Source organism: Homo sapiens, chromosome 4, assembly GCF_000001405.40.
Source record: "Homo sapiens chromosome 4, GRCh38.p14 Primary Assembly".
In the NCBI taxonomy this organism is placed as follows: domain Eukaryota; kingdom Metazoa; phylum Chordata; class Mammalia; order Primates; family Hominidae; genus Homo; species Homo sapiens.
The window spans coordinates 66,861,936-66,875,966 of record NC_000004.12 but is presented as its reverse complement, the minus strand read 5'-3'; the positions used below and the strand labels follow the sequence as shown (position 1 = coordinate 66,875,966).

General features: G+C 33.7%; 1 long non-coding RNA gene across 2 annotated transcripts in view; it reads left to right on the top strand.

The window, feature by feature from the left end:
- Positions 1 to 13,103, top strand: part of LOC105377262 (uncharacterized) — a 214,769-nt gene extending 201,666 nt beyond the window's left edge. Inside the window, exons 2-4 of one of the 2 annotated variants that reach the window (XR_938847.2) lie at positions 5,120 to 5,201; positions 7,746 to 7,908; positions 12,850 to 13,103. This is a non-coding gene — a long non-coding RNA (uncharacterized LOC105377262). The remainder of the gene's footprint in view (positions 1 to 5,119; positions 5,202 to 7,745; positions 7,909 to 12,849) is intronic. The other variant, XR_938848.2, reaches the window with a different exon arrangement.
- The last annotated feature ends 928 nt before the right edge of the window (positions 13,104 to 14,031 follow it).

Sequence of the window (14,031 nt, the reverse complement as noted above, 5' to 3'; positions counted from 1 at the left end):
TTCTTTTTAACTATTATCATTTCTATTATTAAAGGGTTCTTTCTCCAAATGAGCAGCAAGGTGGCCTTTGGCTTTGTATTTTATAACATTTAACATTTACTCCAAAATTATTGATCGTGGGTTAGTTTTTTCACTACTAGCACTAGCATCAGCAAGAGCACTTCATAAGGGTTTGAATCACATCGTTATAGAATGTAAAAATGCATTCAATTAACATGAACGTTTAAAAAAAGGACAAAAGTCACTAAAATCACTCGCATAACTTCCAAAGTATATCTAATCAATGCTTATTATTCTCATATTCTGTATTTAGAATGTCATGCTTACTAAAATTTATTTGTAACCCCAAAATCAATATTGCCGTGCTTTAATGAGCATCTGTGGACTTGTACATATGCAGAGTGGCAGAAAATTTGAGTTGCCTAAGACACATGTTCCAACTAAGGTAGAACAAAAGAATGCTCAGTCTTTTTGTTTCAGCTCTCCTACTATATGTAAATGACCTTTTTGCAGTCTATTTGGTGTCATGTTTTTTGCATCTTTGTGCTTTTTGTCAGTGATTTTTGTGTTTAAAACAGTGATAGTGCTGAAGTTCTACAAAGTGTTCCTAAGTGCAAGAAGGCTGTGATGTGCCTTATGGAGAAAGTAACTTCAGACATGAGTTAAAGCTGGCCATGAGTTCAAAGTTCAAAATTGACAATATATATTCAATGAGGTGGTATTAAATAGAAATACATATAAAACAAGGTTATATATTGCTCAGTTGCTGAAATGTTATGATCAGAAGCTCATAGGAACCTAATCTTATTTTTTCTCTGTGAGCAATGCTTCTACTGTTTGCTTTACAGAACCCAACTACCACAAATAATGATAATCAACTGTATAATCAAAATATGGTTCAAAGTTTACTGACAAAAGACGAAATTCTTTCCATTTAATTTATAAAGTCCTTTGGCAAATTACCACAGTTAAAACATGGCTTACAAATCACCTGGTCTACCAACTTTAAAATAATGAAAAGTTGAAGATAATTTTCTGTCCAGTTCACAATGCTTCACATTCTGTGCATTAAATGAGACTATTTATTTATTTATTTTTGAGACAGGGTCTTATTCTGTCGCCCAGGCTGAAATGCAGTTGCATGATCACTGCTCACTGCAGCCTTGACCTTCCGGGCTCAAGCAATTCTCCCACTTCAGCCTCGCTAGTAGCTGGGACTAGAGGGACATGCCACCAGGCCTGGCTAATCTTTTTTTGTATTTTTGGTAGAGATTGTGTTTCGCCATGTTACCCCGGTTGGTCTCGAACTCCTGGACTTAAGCAATTCACCTGCCTTGGCCTCGCAAACTGCTGGGATTACAGTGAGCCACCATGCCTGGCTGAGATTTGATTAATATTTGCTATCATAATATTTCAATATTATATGACTCAAAAATACAGAAAATACAATTAACAAGAATTTTTACTTTCAATGTATGAGATTAATTCAAAATACTTGCTTCAGTTCCAAAAAACTATTATCTTTCCTATAAGAGATGCTCAAATAAAGTTTTCTGTTTTCTTTAATGTAAATATTTGCTAAATGGGGATGTCTAGTTGGTGTTTTTTAATTACATAAAACATTTCTTAAAAGTGGAACATCTGCAATAACAAAAAGTAAAGATGGAATCTGATGAGGCATTAAATCTGATGTATTATAAGAGTAAAATTGCTGGTATATTGCATTTTTGCATACATATTGTGTTACTATAATGCTTCCAAGGCCAATTTGGTGGGGCAGATAGAATTAGGTGACACTTAGGAAACTGGAAATAGGATATATATAAATCTGCTTGACTGATATATTCCCTAGGAATATTATGCCCCAGAGTAGAAATATACAAAATTGTTACACATTATTAGATTATATTAATTCTTGTAAATTATGGTAAAATTTCTAATCATACCTTTGAGTCTGCATTGTTCTATGGGAGAAATTATTAGAATAATTCTAACATTAAGACTTGAAATGGAAGGCCAATTTTGTAGGAATTGAGATTTACTGCCACTACACTGCTAAAAAAACATACCTTTCTGTCCCTTTCATAATAATGTTACAGCGAGTTCTGTGTGTCAGTCAAAATACTTGATATTTCACTGGAATTTTCTGAAAATCTATTTGTAATATTGTCCAAGCAAACATGATTATATTTAGCAAGGCAATAATGACTAACTTTGGACTAGGAAAACTGAAAAATGAATTCAGGTGCTACAAAATAAAAATATTAAAAAAACATACATCCTATTTGGAACTCTTTCAAAGTCTTTAAAAAAAATAACCTTGAAGAACTCTGATGATTATTTTTATAGACACTAAACCTAGAGAAAGATTTCAAAATTTAATAGGAAATTGTTTCCTAATGTGTTCCAAGACATTTAGTCTAGTTTTCTAAGTACCAGTTTATCATGGGACGCCTCTCTATGGTATGTCACTCAAGTTCCTTTTATTATAAGCCACAATGAATAAAACCCCAATACTGCCTCTTTGCTAAGCCGTAAAATACACCCAATAGAAATTACTTTAATAAAAGTTGACTACTAGCATACTTAAATACACTCAAAGAGCAATATGAAAACTTAGCTAGGCCCGATTCCTCTCTCATGTATTACAGGAATGAAAATATTTCTTGGCTTATAGGAAAAGAGCTAACTGCTTTTCAAAATAAAGGGAAGAGGGGAACCCACCACAAAGTAACACATTGCATACTTTTTCTGTAGTATCGTTTTATTTTCAATAAATATAAGTACATTAATTTGGAAGACATACTATTAGTATCAGGAAAAGCCAGACAAAAATCTGGGGTTTCTAGACATTTCAAATATTGTAAGGCAAAACCTTGTGCCCCTTTGTCATGCTCCATCCCCTCAAGACTGCACACAAAAGGTAATAAATCTACAGTTTTTCCAGATAAAAGAAAGTATCTACTAACCAGCTAAGCACAATGGGTGTAATAAAATCACAGAATTAGTCTGGCTTTCATCTGATAAAATACCTCAGAAAGGCCAGTGATGCTTTTAATGAGTGGCCTTGAGCAATTCATTTAACATGTTTTAGCCTCCATGTTACTCTTTTCTAATCTAAAACATTAAGACGCATCTACTTCCCAGCAGTGTTGAGGCCTAATTTCATTTGATTGAAAAGCCTTTGGGCTTTTTCCATGATCAGCTGTATTTGGTTTCAGAAGTTCAGAACTGTCAAAATTAGTGACAGAAAAGTGATGTCACAGAGTAACTCTTTTGCTTAAAACTCTGATTCCAATAATTGTAGTTTGATTTTTATGCTGTAAATAAGTAGTATAAAATATCTTTAGTAATGTACATATATGTCACATATCTTTTGACATAGGCAACCCTAGGGAGCTTTCCATGACTAACGTGGTTTTCTCCACCGGCTTGAATTGCATTCACCCCACAATGAAGAAAACATCAATGATTCAATTTCCTTTTGTCAAAGCCCTTGGGCATTATCTGTGAAGAATTAATTCTCAAATATACTTGACCAAATGTAAAGAATATGTAATGTGCTATGTCATTTTTGAACATAATTTTCTTTCAACCTCAGTATAATGACTAAGCATGCCATGCCATGTATAATCAATATCCTCAGACAACAGAGTGAAAAAGCAATGTGGTACAGACATCAAGTTTACAGAAAACTGTTAGATTGAGAAAGAGGTATGAGTGTTCTTTTTAATCAGCAAAGACCTCTGCAGAAACCACAATGGATAGCATATTAATTTGCCTCACTGAAGCTGAAAATATACTTTTGACTACAGAACAAGTATATTATAAATCTGTTTTTCCTGAATTATTTTATGTTATGGACTGAATGTTTGGGCTCCCCTACCCCATCAAATGTATATGTTAAAACCCTAGCCCCCAATATGATGGTATTTATAGACAAGGCCTTTGGAAGGTAGTTAGGGTTAGATGGGATCATGAGGTGGCTGCCCTCATTAAGGGATTGGTGTCCTTGTAAGAGGAGATACTAGGGGGCTTGCTCTCTTCTCTCCCTCTCTGCTCACACTTGCACAAAGCAGAGGACACTGAGCACACAGCAAGATGGTGACCACCTACAAGCCAAGAGAAGAGGCATCAAAATAAAAGCTACCTTGCTGCCACATGGATCTTGAACTCTAGAACCATGGAAGATAAATTTTTGTGAATGAAGCTACCTGGTCTCTGGTATTTTCTTATGGCAGATCGAAGTGTTAAATATATTTTATATTGTCTTTATTTGCTTTGAAGACTTCAAATCATTTGTTTATAGAACTTTTTCTTTCATTAACATGAGCACAGTGAAATAAATATTCTTGTTACATTTTATAAGCATGAAATTTGATATAACTTGATTGATAATCAAGCATGTAACTTCTCAATTCCTCAATTACTCTTTGACCTACTAGGCAGTCATGTACCTGCTACATGTGTCACCTGGAGTGGATCATTTTTAATACCCCCTTTTCATATGGCAGAATTGTTTTCAAAAATAAACAGGAAATGAAACAAATAATCATGTTCAGAAAAAAAATCAGACAGTGAAACTTTTCCTAATTGTACTTCATGTGTGTGTGCATAATTTTGTCAGTAAATAAATTTTTAAAATTTTCTGTATAAAGATGAAAATTTCTGTATAAAGAAATTTTTTGTTATATATTAATATTTTATAATTAATTTGGTATATTTTGTATAGCTTTTGAAAAGAGGGAAAAAACTCAGAGCTACTTATTTGCCTGGTATTATAAGTGATGACTATTAATATGAATCATAGCATTAAAGTTTCTAACCCTTAACTTTTTCAAATATGTTAATTATTTTGTTTCAGGCTTAATTGTCTTCTCATTAGAAGACATCATATTCAGTAGACAGTATAGCCAAGTTGGTCAGGTTATCTTTATTGATAATTTATCAAATAACACCTTTTATTTATATTAATTTAAAATTTTTATCTCATATGAAAGGATACACAAATATGTAGGAAGAAATTTAAACATAAGAAAAAATTTGGCAGAAATTATAAAAATTCCTTTGCACAATCAATTCTAGAAATTAAAAACTGGCCATGCCTTTGTTATTTCAGAATCAATTCTAGCAGCTTTCAAATGCGTGTACTTAAAAAAAAGAAAGAATTTCCAACAGACATATAAAATGCCAGAATTAAAGTAAGTCTACTTCTGTTTTTTTTCTCTTTACAATCACTGTATCATTGTTTATTTCTAATCTAGTGCATAAAGACAGGAATATGTAGCACCACAAGGGCTGCAGACCCAATGGTAACCTGAATTGAGTTCAACCATTTGAAATCATTAGGTTAGTTATTCTCTAAATAAATGCTCATCACTGAATTCATGTATTTTGGGGGCTAGCTATATAACTGGAAACTGACAAAATTAACTTTATGTATTATAATAATAGAATAAATATTAAATAATACATTATTTTAAAACTAATTTGAAAATTACATCTATGTTATTAAATCTCAATCACAGCGATTGTTTAAAACATAAACTTACAAAAGAATTTTGCAAGGAGTATTTTTGTCAATGAAATTTAGAACTGATGGTACTGTGGTTAAAAAAAAAAATAAATGTTAGTACATTTTATGATTTGTATGTTTTCTACGTACAATGCACTCCTTTATTGCTTACATGTGGTTACCTATACTTGATTTCCAGGGTTTTTCTTTTTCTTTTTTTATTTTTTTGAGATGGAGTCTTGCTCTTGTTGTCTAGGCTGGAGTGCAGTGGCACGATCTCGGCTCACTGCAACATCTGCCTCCCGGTTCAAGTGATTCTCCTGCCTTAGCCTCCCGAGTAGCTGGGATTACAGGCGCTCGCCACCACACCTGACTAATTTTTGTATTTTTAGTATTGTGTATTTTTGTATTTTTAGAGAGGGGGTTTCACCATGTTGGCCAGGCTGGTCTCAAACTCCTGACCTTATGATCCACCCGCCTCAGCCTCCCAAAGTGCTGTGATTACAGGCATGAGCCACCGTGCCTGGCCAGGTTTTTTTTTTTTTTTTTAAAGTTTTGGAGTACATGTGCAGGACATGCAGATTTGTTACATAAGTAAACGTGTGTCACTGTGGTTGCTGCACCTATCAAACCATCACCTAGGTATTAAGCCCTTGAAAACTTATCTATTTATCTTGATGCTCTCCCTTCCACCTCATTCCCGACAGGCCCCAATGTGTGATGTTCCCCTCCCTCCGTCCATTTGTTCTCATTGTTCAGCTCCCACTTACTTATAAGTGAGAACATGCGTGTTTGGTTTTCTGTTCCTGTGTTAGTTAGCTGAGGATAATGGCTTCCAGCTCCCTCCATGTCCCTGCAAAGGACATGACCTCAAAGATCTAGAACCAGAAATACTATTTGACCTAAAAATCCCATTACGGAGTATATCCCCAAAGGAATATAAATCATTCTATTATAATGGTTGCCAGGGTTTAACAATCAGAATTAGATTTTATAAAGTACATCATACAATACCACAGGCATCTAATAAATAGCAGCTGCCCCTATTACACTATTATTATTATTTCATATTATTTTGAAAGAGTATTCATGTATAAAATGTTTTCTGCATCTCCAAATTTTCTTTTAGATAAATTTCTAAAATCAGAAATTTACTATATGAAGGTTCCTTTATAAAGGTTCCCTAGAAATGTACCAATGCTCCTAGAGGCAGTGTATGCTCACAAATAGTAGAAACTGATGGTACCTTTAAAAATGTGCTTATTATTTGGCTGAGTGCAGTGGTTCACACCTGTAATCCCAGTACTTTGGGAGGCCAAGGTGGGAGCATCATTTGAGCTCAGGAATAGAAGACCAGCCTGGGCAAAATAACAAGACCCTGTCTCTGTAGAAAAAAAAATGCTCATTATGCTCTCATACTTGTTTAAAAATTGTCTTTTTAATATCGTTTACTGATACTTTTATTTGGATGTTACATTTTAACTTTTTTTTTGCAGCAATTAGTCTGTAGCGATTATTAGGAATAGTAACAGCTTGCTTGCCTTTAGTGCTAATTTTGGGATTTCTTGAGCAGACTTAATTATTTGAGTCTGAATTGAAGTGGATACAAAATGTAGTCCAATTACAACCTATGGTAAAACTTTGTATTTGTCCTAATTTCATATATAAAATACACACACACACACGACTTGCTTAGAAAATTGCTCCAGATAACAATTCTGTCAGCTAAAATTTGCTCCCTCAGTGCTACTGTAATAGCATTTACTAAGAGTACTATAATATAAATTAAGATAAAGGCTTTATAAGTGATGTAAGAACTTAGTTTTGTGCAGGATAAGATGTGCAAAGAAAAAGAAAGACTTTGATCTGGTTGACAACTAGCAGAAAAGCTCTAGAGTAATAATAGTTAAGTAAGTGGAAAAACTTCAACAGCCAATCAGATACAATATAGATCCATAAATACCTTTGACAATCTGATCAATTTGTAGTATATTGCCATATCTCACTTTCTGCATGTGGTTGTAATCACTTGTTTTTATGTCTGTCTCTTCCTTCTGCCTATGTTATCACTATTTCACAATCTTGAATTGGAATTTCTCCAATGGCTATCATATATTATTTGATTAACCATGTCGAAAAATTGAATAATCTAATTCCACATCCAGTACTCCTCCAAATAAACCTTGTTGATTCCTATGATTATCAGATCATTGACTTTTTTTTTCTGTAGCGTTCAAGGGTACTGGGAGCAGCAAAGAAAAGCCACAGCAACATCAGTTTGACCACGAATGCTGCTTAATGGTGTGTTAAAACGCTGCAATGAAGAATAACTTGCTGACATGATACCTCCTGAAGGGACACACACAAATGCTGACTCCTTTGTTTTTTAATTGGTCAGTTGCATCCTATAAAATTTGGCATGAGAAATACTTTGCCCTTTCAGGTTCCTCTAGATGTACAATCCCTACCCAAGCAAAATCCAGACTGCTCATGTGTGATTGAAAGCATCTCTTCCCTTTAGGGAAATGATGCACTTTCCATTTTGAAGCCATAGTTAATGTTCTGTTGGTAAACATGTACCAAGGTGATCCTTTGGTCAATCAGGATGTTAAGATTACCTTTTTGAATATAGGAAAGTAAACAGCAGGATAATCTAACCCAGGGAGTATGAAAACAGGAGAAATGAGTAATCTGTTGACCCATGAGGTATGAGAGAAAGATTTTCATTGGAAAAATGAAAATAATAGAGGCCAATGTAAAATATTTTGGAAACAGAGAAAATTTTCTACTTTTATAAATACTAAAGAAGTCATTCTACTCTAAGCAGTTGAGCTGCTGTAAAACTCATTGTAAATATATTATAGAGGCTGCAATTTATGTATATTGATGCAACAAATATTAATAGTCACCAGTGTCAAAGCATCTTGTAGGTTATAAACTATACTCCTAATAAAAGAGATACGTTTTTATCATATGTTTTCAAAAATAGGTAAGGAAAATGAAATATTGATTGATTGATTAAGTGGCACACAGGACTTTAAAAGTAAAATACGATTTTATCATTTTTTTAAAGATAACAGTGAAGATTTAGATTAACCTATGTTACATAGTCATGCTGCTAGGAAATAGAAGAGGTGACGTTTTACTTAGGTCTGAACTTTTAGCCAATGGTCTTAACAAGTTTTCATTATCCTGCATTTTCTTGTACCAGGATTAGAAGGTAGCTCCAATCTCTGTCTTATGGTAGAAAAGCCAAGAAAATTAACTAGTATACATGAAAATATACCAAATATAAGGCAGACTATAGTCAATTTAGCCATAACAAAGTCACAAAAGAGGGAAAGTTCACTTAGGCATGGCTCTGTTTGCAACATGAGATTTGAATAGCACCTTAAAAGATCAGTACAATTACGGTAGATAAACATGGGAAGAAAGGCATTTTAGACAGAAGGACAGACAGTAAAAACAGAAATACAAAATAGGATTAACTGGGAAGAGTAACTAATTCAGTCTTACTAGAAAATGAGGCATAAAGAGAGAAGCAGTGAGAGGTTAACATTAGGCAGTTACACACAGATAGAGTACGGAAAACTGAATTCCTAGGGAGAAAGGCACAAATATACAAATTTATTCTGTTGGTAATTGAAGTTTTCTGACAATTGCAATGCCATGCTCAGAAGGCTCTTTTAGGAAGATTAATTTGGCAATCGAATGTTATATAGATGAGAACTGGGAGATACCAGAGGCAAAGTTACCAAGTGGACACTTACAAGGACAGCAATTAGAGATACTTACAATAGTATTGAAAGCCTTATGGGAAACAGAAGGTAATGAGAATTGAAAGCCTACTATGGATCAGCACTCTACTGGGTGTACTGGATGATTGAATGGATTATATAATTTACATTTCATCATCCCTGTATTATGGTAGCTCCCTTAGAAATGGAGACAAATATATGAGAACGATGCTGCAGGGAGAGAGTGAACATAATTGATTTAATATAACAAGTTAAAGAAATTAGTCAAAAATAATTCTGAAGTTTCATGTCCAGTGTTCAAAATAATATTTCAAGAAGGTTTTCAGTTGCAAATGCTGAATTCACTGTTGGAAATCTTGAGTTTGGAAGTTAGCTTTTTCTTTTATGCACAGTGGCTAATTATGAGATGCATAGTATTTACACTATAGTCATCAGGGAGATTAGGGTCAGGAAGAACATTGAACCAACAGTAAAAAGCAACAACAAAAAAACAGTGATGATGGCAGGACACTGTGCTAAAAGCTTTATCTCATATGTTTCCCAGTGTAATCCTGAGATATACACATTTTTTTCAGCCTACACATGTATTAATCAAGTTAGAGTATAGAAGCCATTTAGATATTTTAGTAAGGAGTGTGATATATTACATGCTTACAAAACTTTGATAGGACTGATGAGTATGGTCCAGAGAGAACCACTACTGGATTTGAGGACACTGGGAATTATTGAAATTACAGGGAAATGCTAATTATCACTATTGCCTCCTATACCAACACAGGTAATTTTCAGGAGCTCTCCTGGAAGGTACTAAAATCTTCATAGTTACCTTCTGTCTCCACATGAACCTGCTACTGTTAGAGCAGAATAATAGCCTCTCCTCTTCTTCCTTAAAATTCTTGTACTAGTTATCTCATTGATTTGAATGTGAACTTGACTCCTGATGGCAACTGTGCCTGAGGAATTTATTTTCTAGGCTACTTGTCCCTGAAGAAAGAGTTTAGTGTTCAATATTGATGGAAAAATACTGAACACACACACACACACACACACACACACACAGAGACAGACAGACAGACACACGCACAGACACATCTTGAAGCTTAGTAAATTAATTTATATTAAGATTTTCATTGACAAATAACAGGTGCTGATTTAAAACCAAGTTTATTTAACATAAAAACTTATGGTCTTAAAAGAAATCATTATATCAAAAGATACCTGCACTCAATTATATATTTATCATAGCATTATTTACAATAGCAAAGATACGGGATCAGCCTAAATGTTCATCAATGGTTTATTGGATAAAGAAAATGTTGTCTGTACACACACACACACACACACACACAAACACACACACACACACAGGAATACTATTCAGCCATTAAAACGAATAAAATCATCTTTTGCAGCAATATGGATGGAATTGGTGGCCATAATATTATGTGAAACAAATTGAAAACAGAAAGTCACAAACCTGCATGTTTTCACTTATGAGTGGGGGCTAAATAATGTCTGCACATGCGTGTAGAGTGTGGAATAATCGATACTGGAGACTCAAGGGTAAGAGTTTGGCAGGGGTGTGAGGGATGAGAAATTTCTTCACGGGTAATAATGTACATTATTCAGGTGATGGTTACACTAAAAGCACAGACTTCACCATGATGCAATGTAGCCATGTGAAAAAGCTTCCATTGTACCCCTTAAATTTATACTAGATAAATGAATAAACAAATAAATAAAAAACATTGAGAGTCTTAACTATTACATGGTACTTTCAGTAAACCAGGGACAGAGTAATGGAGTGGGCATGGCAGGTTGGTAAATCGGTACTTTGCCTATGACATGAGAAAGCAAATGAAAGGCTTTAGTGATGGAACTCTTTGAAGGATCTACAAAAGTCCTCCATGAGAGAGTCAGCCTAGAAATCTCAAAAGCACCTATCCAAATTAAAACAGTTGTATCCATATTTTGCCCTGATACTCCTTTGCCCTGATTCCACTATGGCGGGATTTAAAATATCATGTACTTAATGGGGAAAGAAGTTACTGGGGTAAAGAAGTTACTGGGGTAAAGCTGACCACATCTCTTCTCCTAATTCAGGCAGCAGTCATTCACAGGACAAAGTCGGCAGAGTGAAGAGGAGTGTTACCTTCAGATAAAAATTAGAGCATAGATTAATATCTTATTTTAGAATTATTAGATTGAGACTGCTTTGTGACCTAAAGTCGCCTCGAACTTTCCATTACCTAAGAGTGGGAATAAAACTCATGACACTGAATTGAATTTTCATTTTGGGCCAAGAGAAGATCACCTCCACTGAAAAAAATTTAAAGAGAGAATGAGATGTAAAAATATAGTTGCATTTGATTACATTGTGCACATTGTATGGTCAATATGACAGTTATAAGCAATATTTAGGTAACTTAGAAAATATAGGCACTGATTAAAAATTAAGGAAAACAAGAAATGGTGACAAAAATATCCCACTTCATTACACACATTATTAAGTATTAAAATTATTCCATTTTGGTTGTTTTGATGGAATTCCTAATGACATCTGGGGATCTGAAAGAAAGAAACAAAATATATAATGTGACCCCAGGTCTATGTTACTCCCGTATAACATGACATAGAATTTTTCCTATTTATTCGTAGTTTTAAAAAATAATATTATGCATTTCAAAATATAAAATATAATTTTGTTTACCTATGGTAAGAAACTTCTCATCCTCATGCATTTTTCACTTCTTTTGGTGTTCAAATTACTAAGAATACTGTTAAGCAAATATTATTTCTATGTCTTGCCTTTACTTGCTTAGACAAAACCTTGTTTTCTTCTCTTATGTTTCACAGTATTATACTATCACTGGTAAAATTCCATTGACATGTTTTAAATTTGAGAAACTTTAAAATAGTATTCACTGTACAGCTTTGTGTAAAATATGCTAATAAATGTATTCTGATTTGTTTTTTTCTCCCAACAGGTTCTGACTAGTTTTAAATGAGAAATTATTAAAAATGAAAATAGGAAATGAGAAGTGAGAAATCATTTTTTTCTTAAAGCTAAGTAGGCTGAAACCAATGCAGAAAATACAATTTTGATTTAAAGTAAATACATAGCAACTTTTATTTAAAGCATGTGTGTGTGTGTGTGTGTGTGTGTGTGTATACACACATATATATATCAGCTCTATATGTACATGTGTATATCATATGCCATAGTAATATGTATATACATATGTAGTAGTCATGCACAGACATAAAATTCATCCATCAATTTTTTTATTAACCCACTATTGAAATGTAACAATTTTGATGAAATTAACTCCAATATCCCTTTTTCAGCTGTAAAGTGCTAAAATATATTAATTAAAAAAATAAATTTTATGTAGTGATTATTGTCAAGAGACATATTTTGATCATACTGGGAGAAAGCATTTATATTCGAAGTTGCCTTTCAATTACTCATAAATTATTATTAGGACTGATGTATAGCTGGTACACACTGGTGCAGTTATAATATTTAAATAATTCTATATTGGTTGCTAAAACTCTGATTCTTCTCTCTTCTAGGTTCCTTCGCCATTTCAGCTGCCACCATCCCCTCTCCCCAAAACCCCAGTAGACATCAACAGAATCCAGAAACTACAGGGTCCACTGGCATGGCAGGGCCTGTAGGATTCTTTTCCAATGTGTACAGATTGGCTGATGCCTGGACTATGCCAGTTCACTGTTTTAAAGATTACTCTTGATTGTCACAATTAAAAACAAAGAATATTTAGAACCAAATTATATGTGTTGCACATTAAACAAAACGTTTTATAATATGTTCTAAAAGTCAGCAAAGGTTATTTAGCTGTGTATGATTCATTTCACAATTCCATTTTTTAATATTGTAATTCTCCCTTATGCCTTCTAATTTTTTTTGAAATGACCACAGATATCTTCTGTAGGCCAAATAGCATATTACACATCTGTCAAAACATACTTTATTATCATATAACTCTGTTTACAAAGTCTCTTGAACCCTTTCAGATTGTTCTGGCTGCTTGTTTTGTGTTCATTTCTTTCTTTAATGTGTTTACATTTTCCAGTCATTTGTATAAATAAGGATGTACTAGAATAAATAGTCTTTCCCCTTTAAGACCCAGTCTAAATTTCAAGGTTAGTTTTAAATTTTGTTCTTCATTTCAATATGACAGCAAAGTTGTTTGATACTAAGAATAATTCTTTTTGATGAAAATACTATATTTAAGAAATCAATAATACTATGAACTGACTTATATTCTCTTTAAATTTATAGACCTAACTATACACCCCATGTGATGGTATTTGGAGATGGACCTTTGGAAGGTAATTCAGGTTAGATGAGATCATGAAGGTATAGTCCTCATGACGGGATTAGTGTCTTCATAATGTGATAGAGAGAGAGAGAGAGAGAGAGAAAAGGAGAGAGAGAGGAAGAGAAATTATCACAAAAAAAGAGGTCATCTGAGTACACAGTGAGATAGAAGCCACCTATAATCCAAGAAAAGAGTCCTCAGAATAAAACCTACCTTGTGGACACCTTGATCTTGGACTTCCAGTCTCCAGAACTATGAGAAATGAATTTCTGTTGTTTAAGCAACTCAGTCTGTGGTACTTTGTTGTCTCAACTGAAGCAGATGAATACAAATAATAAATAGAGTGGTGTACATTAGTGATGGATGGCTCACTATTAGAGAAGCCCATAGTCTCTGTGTTGAATTTTATTTG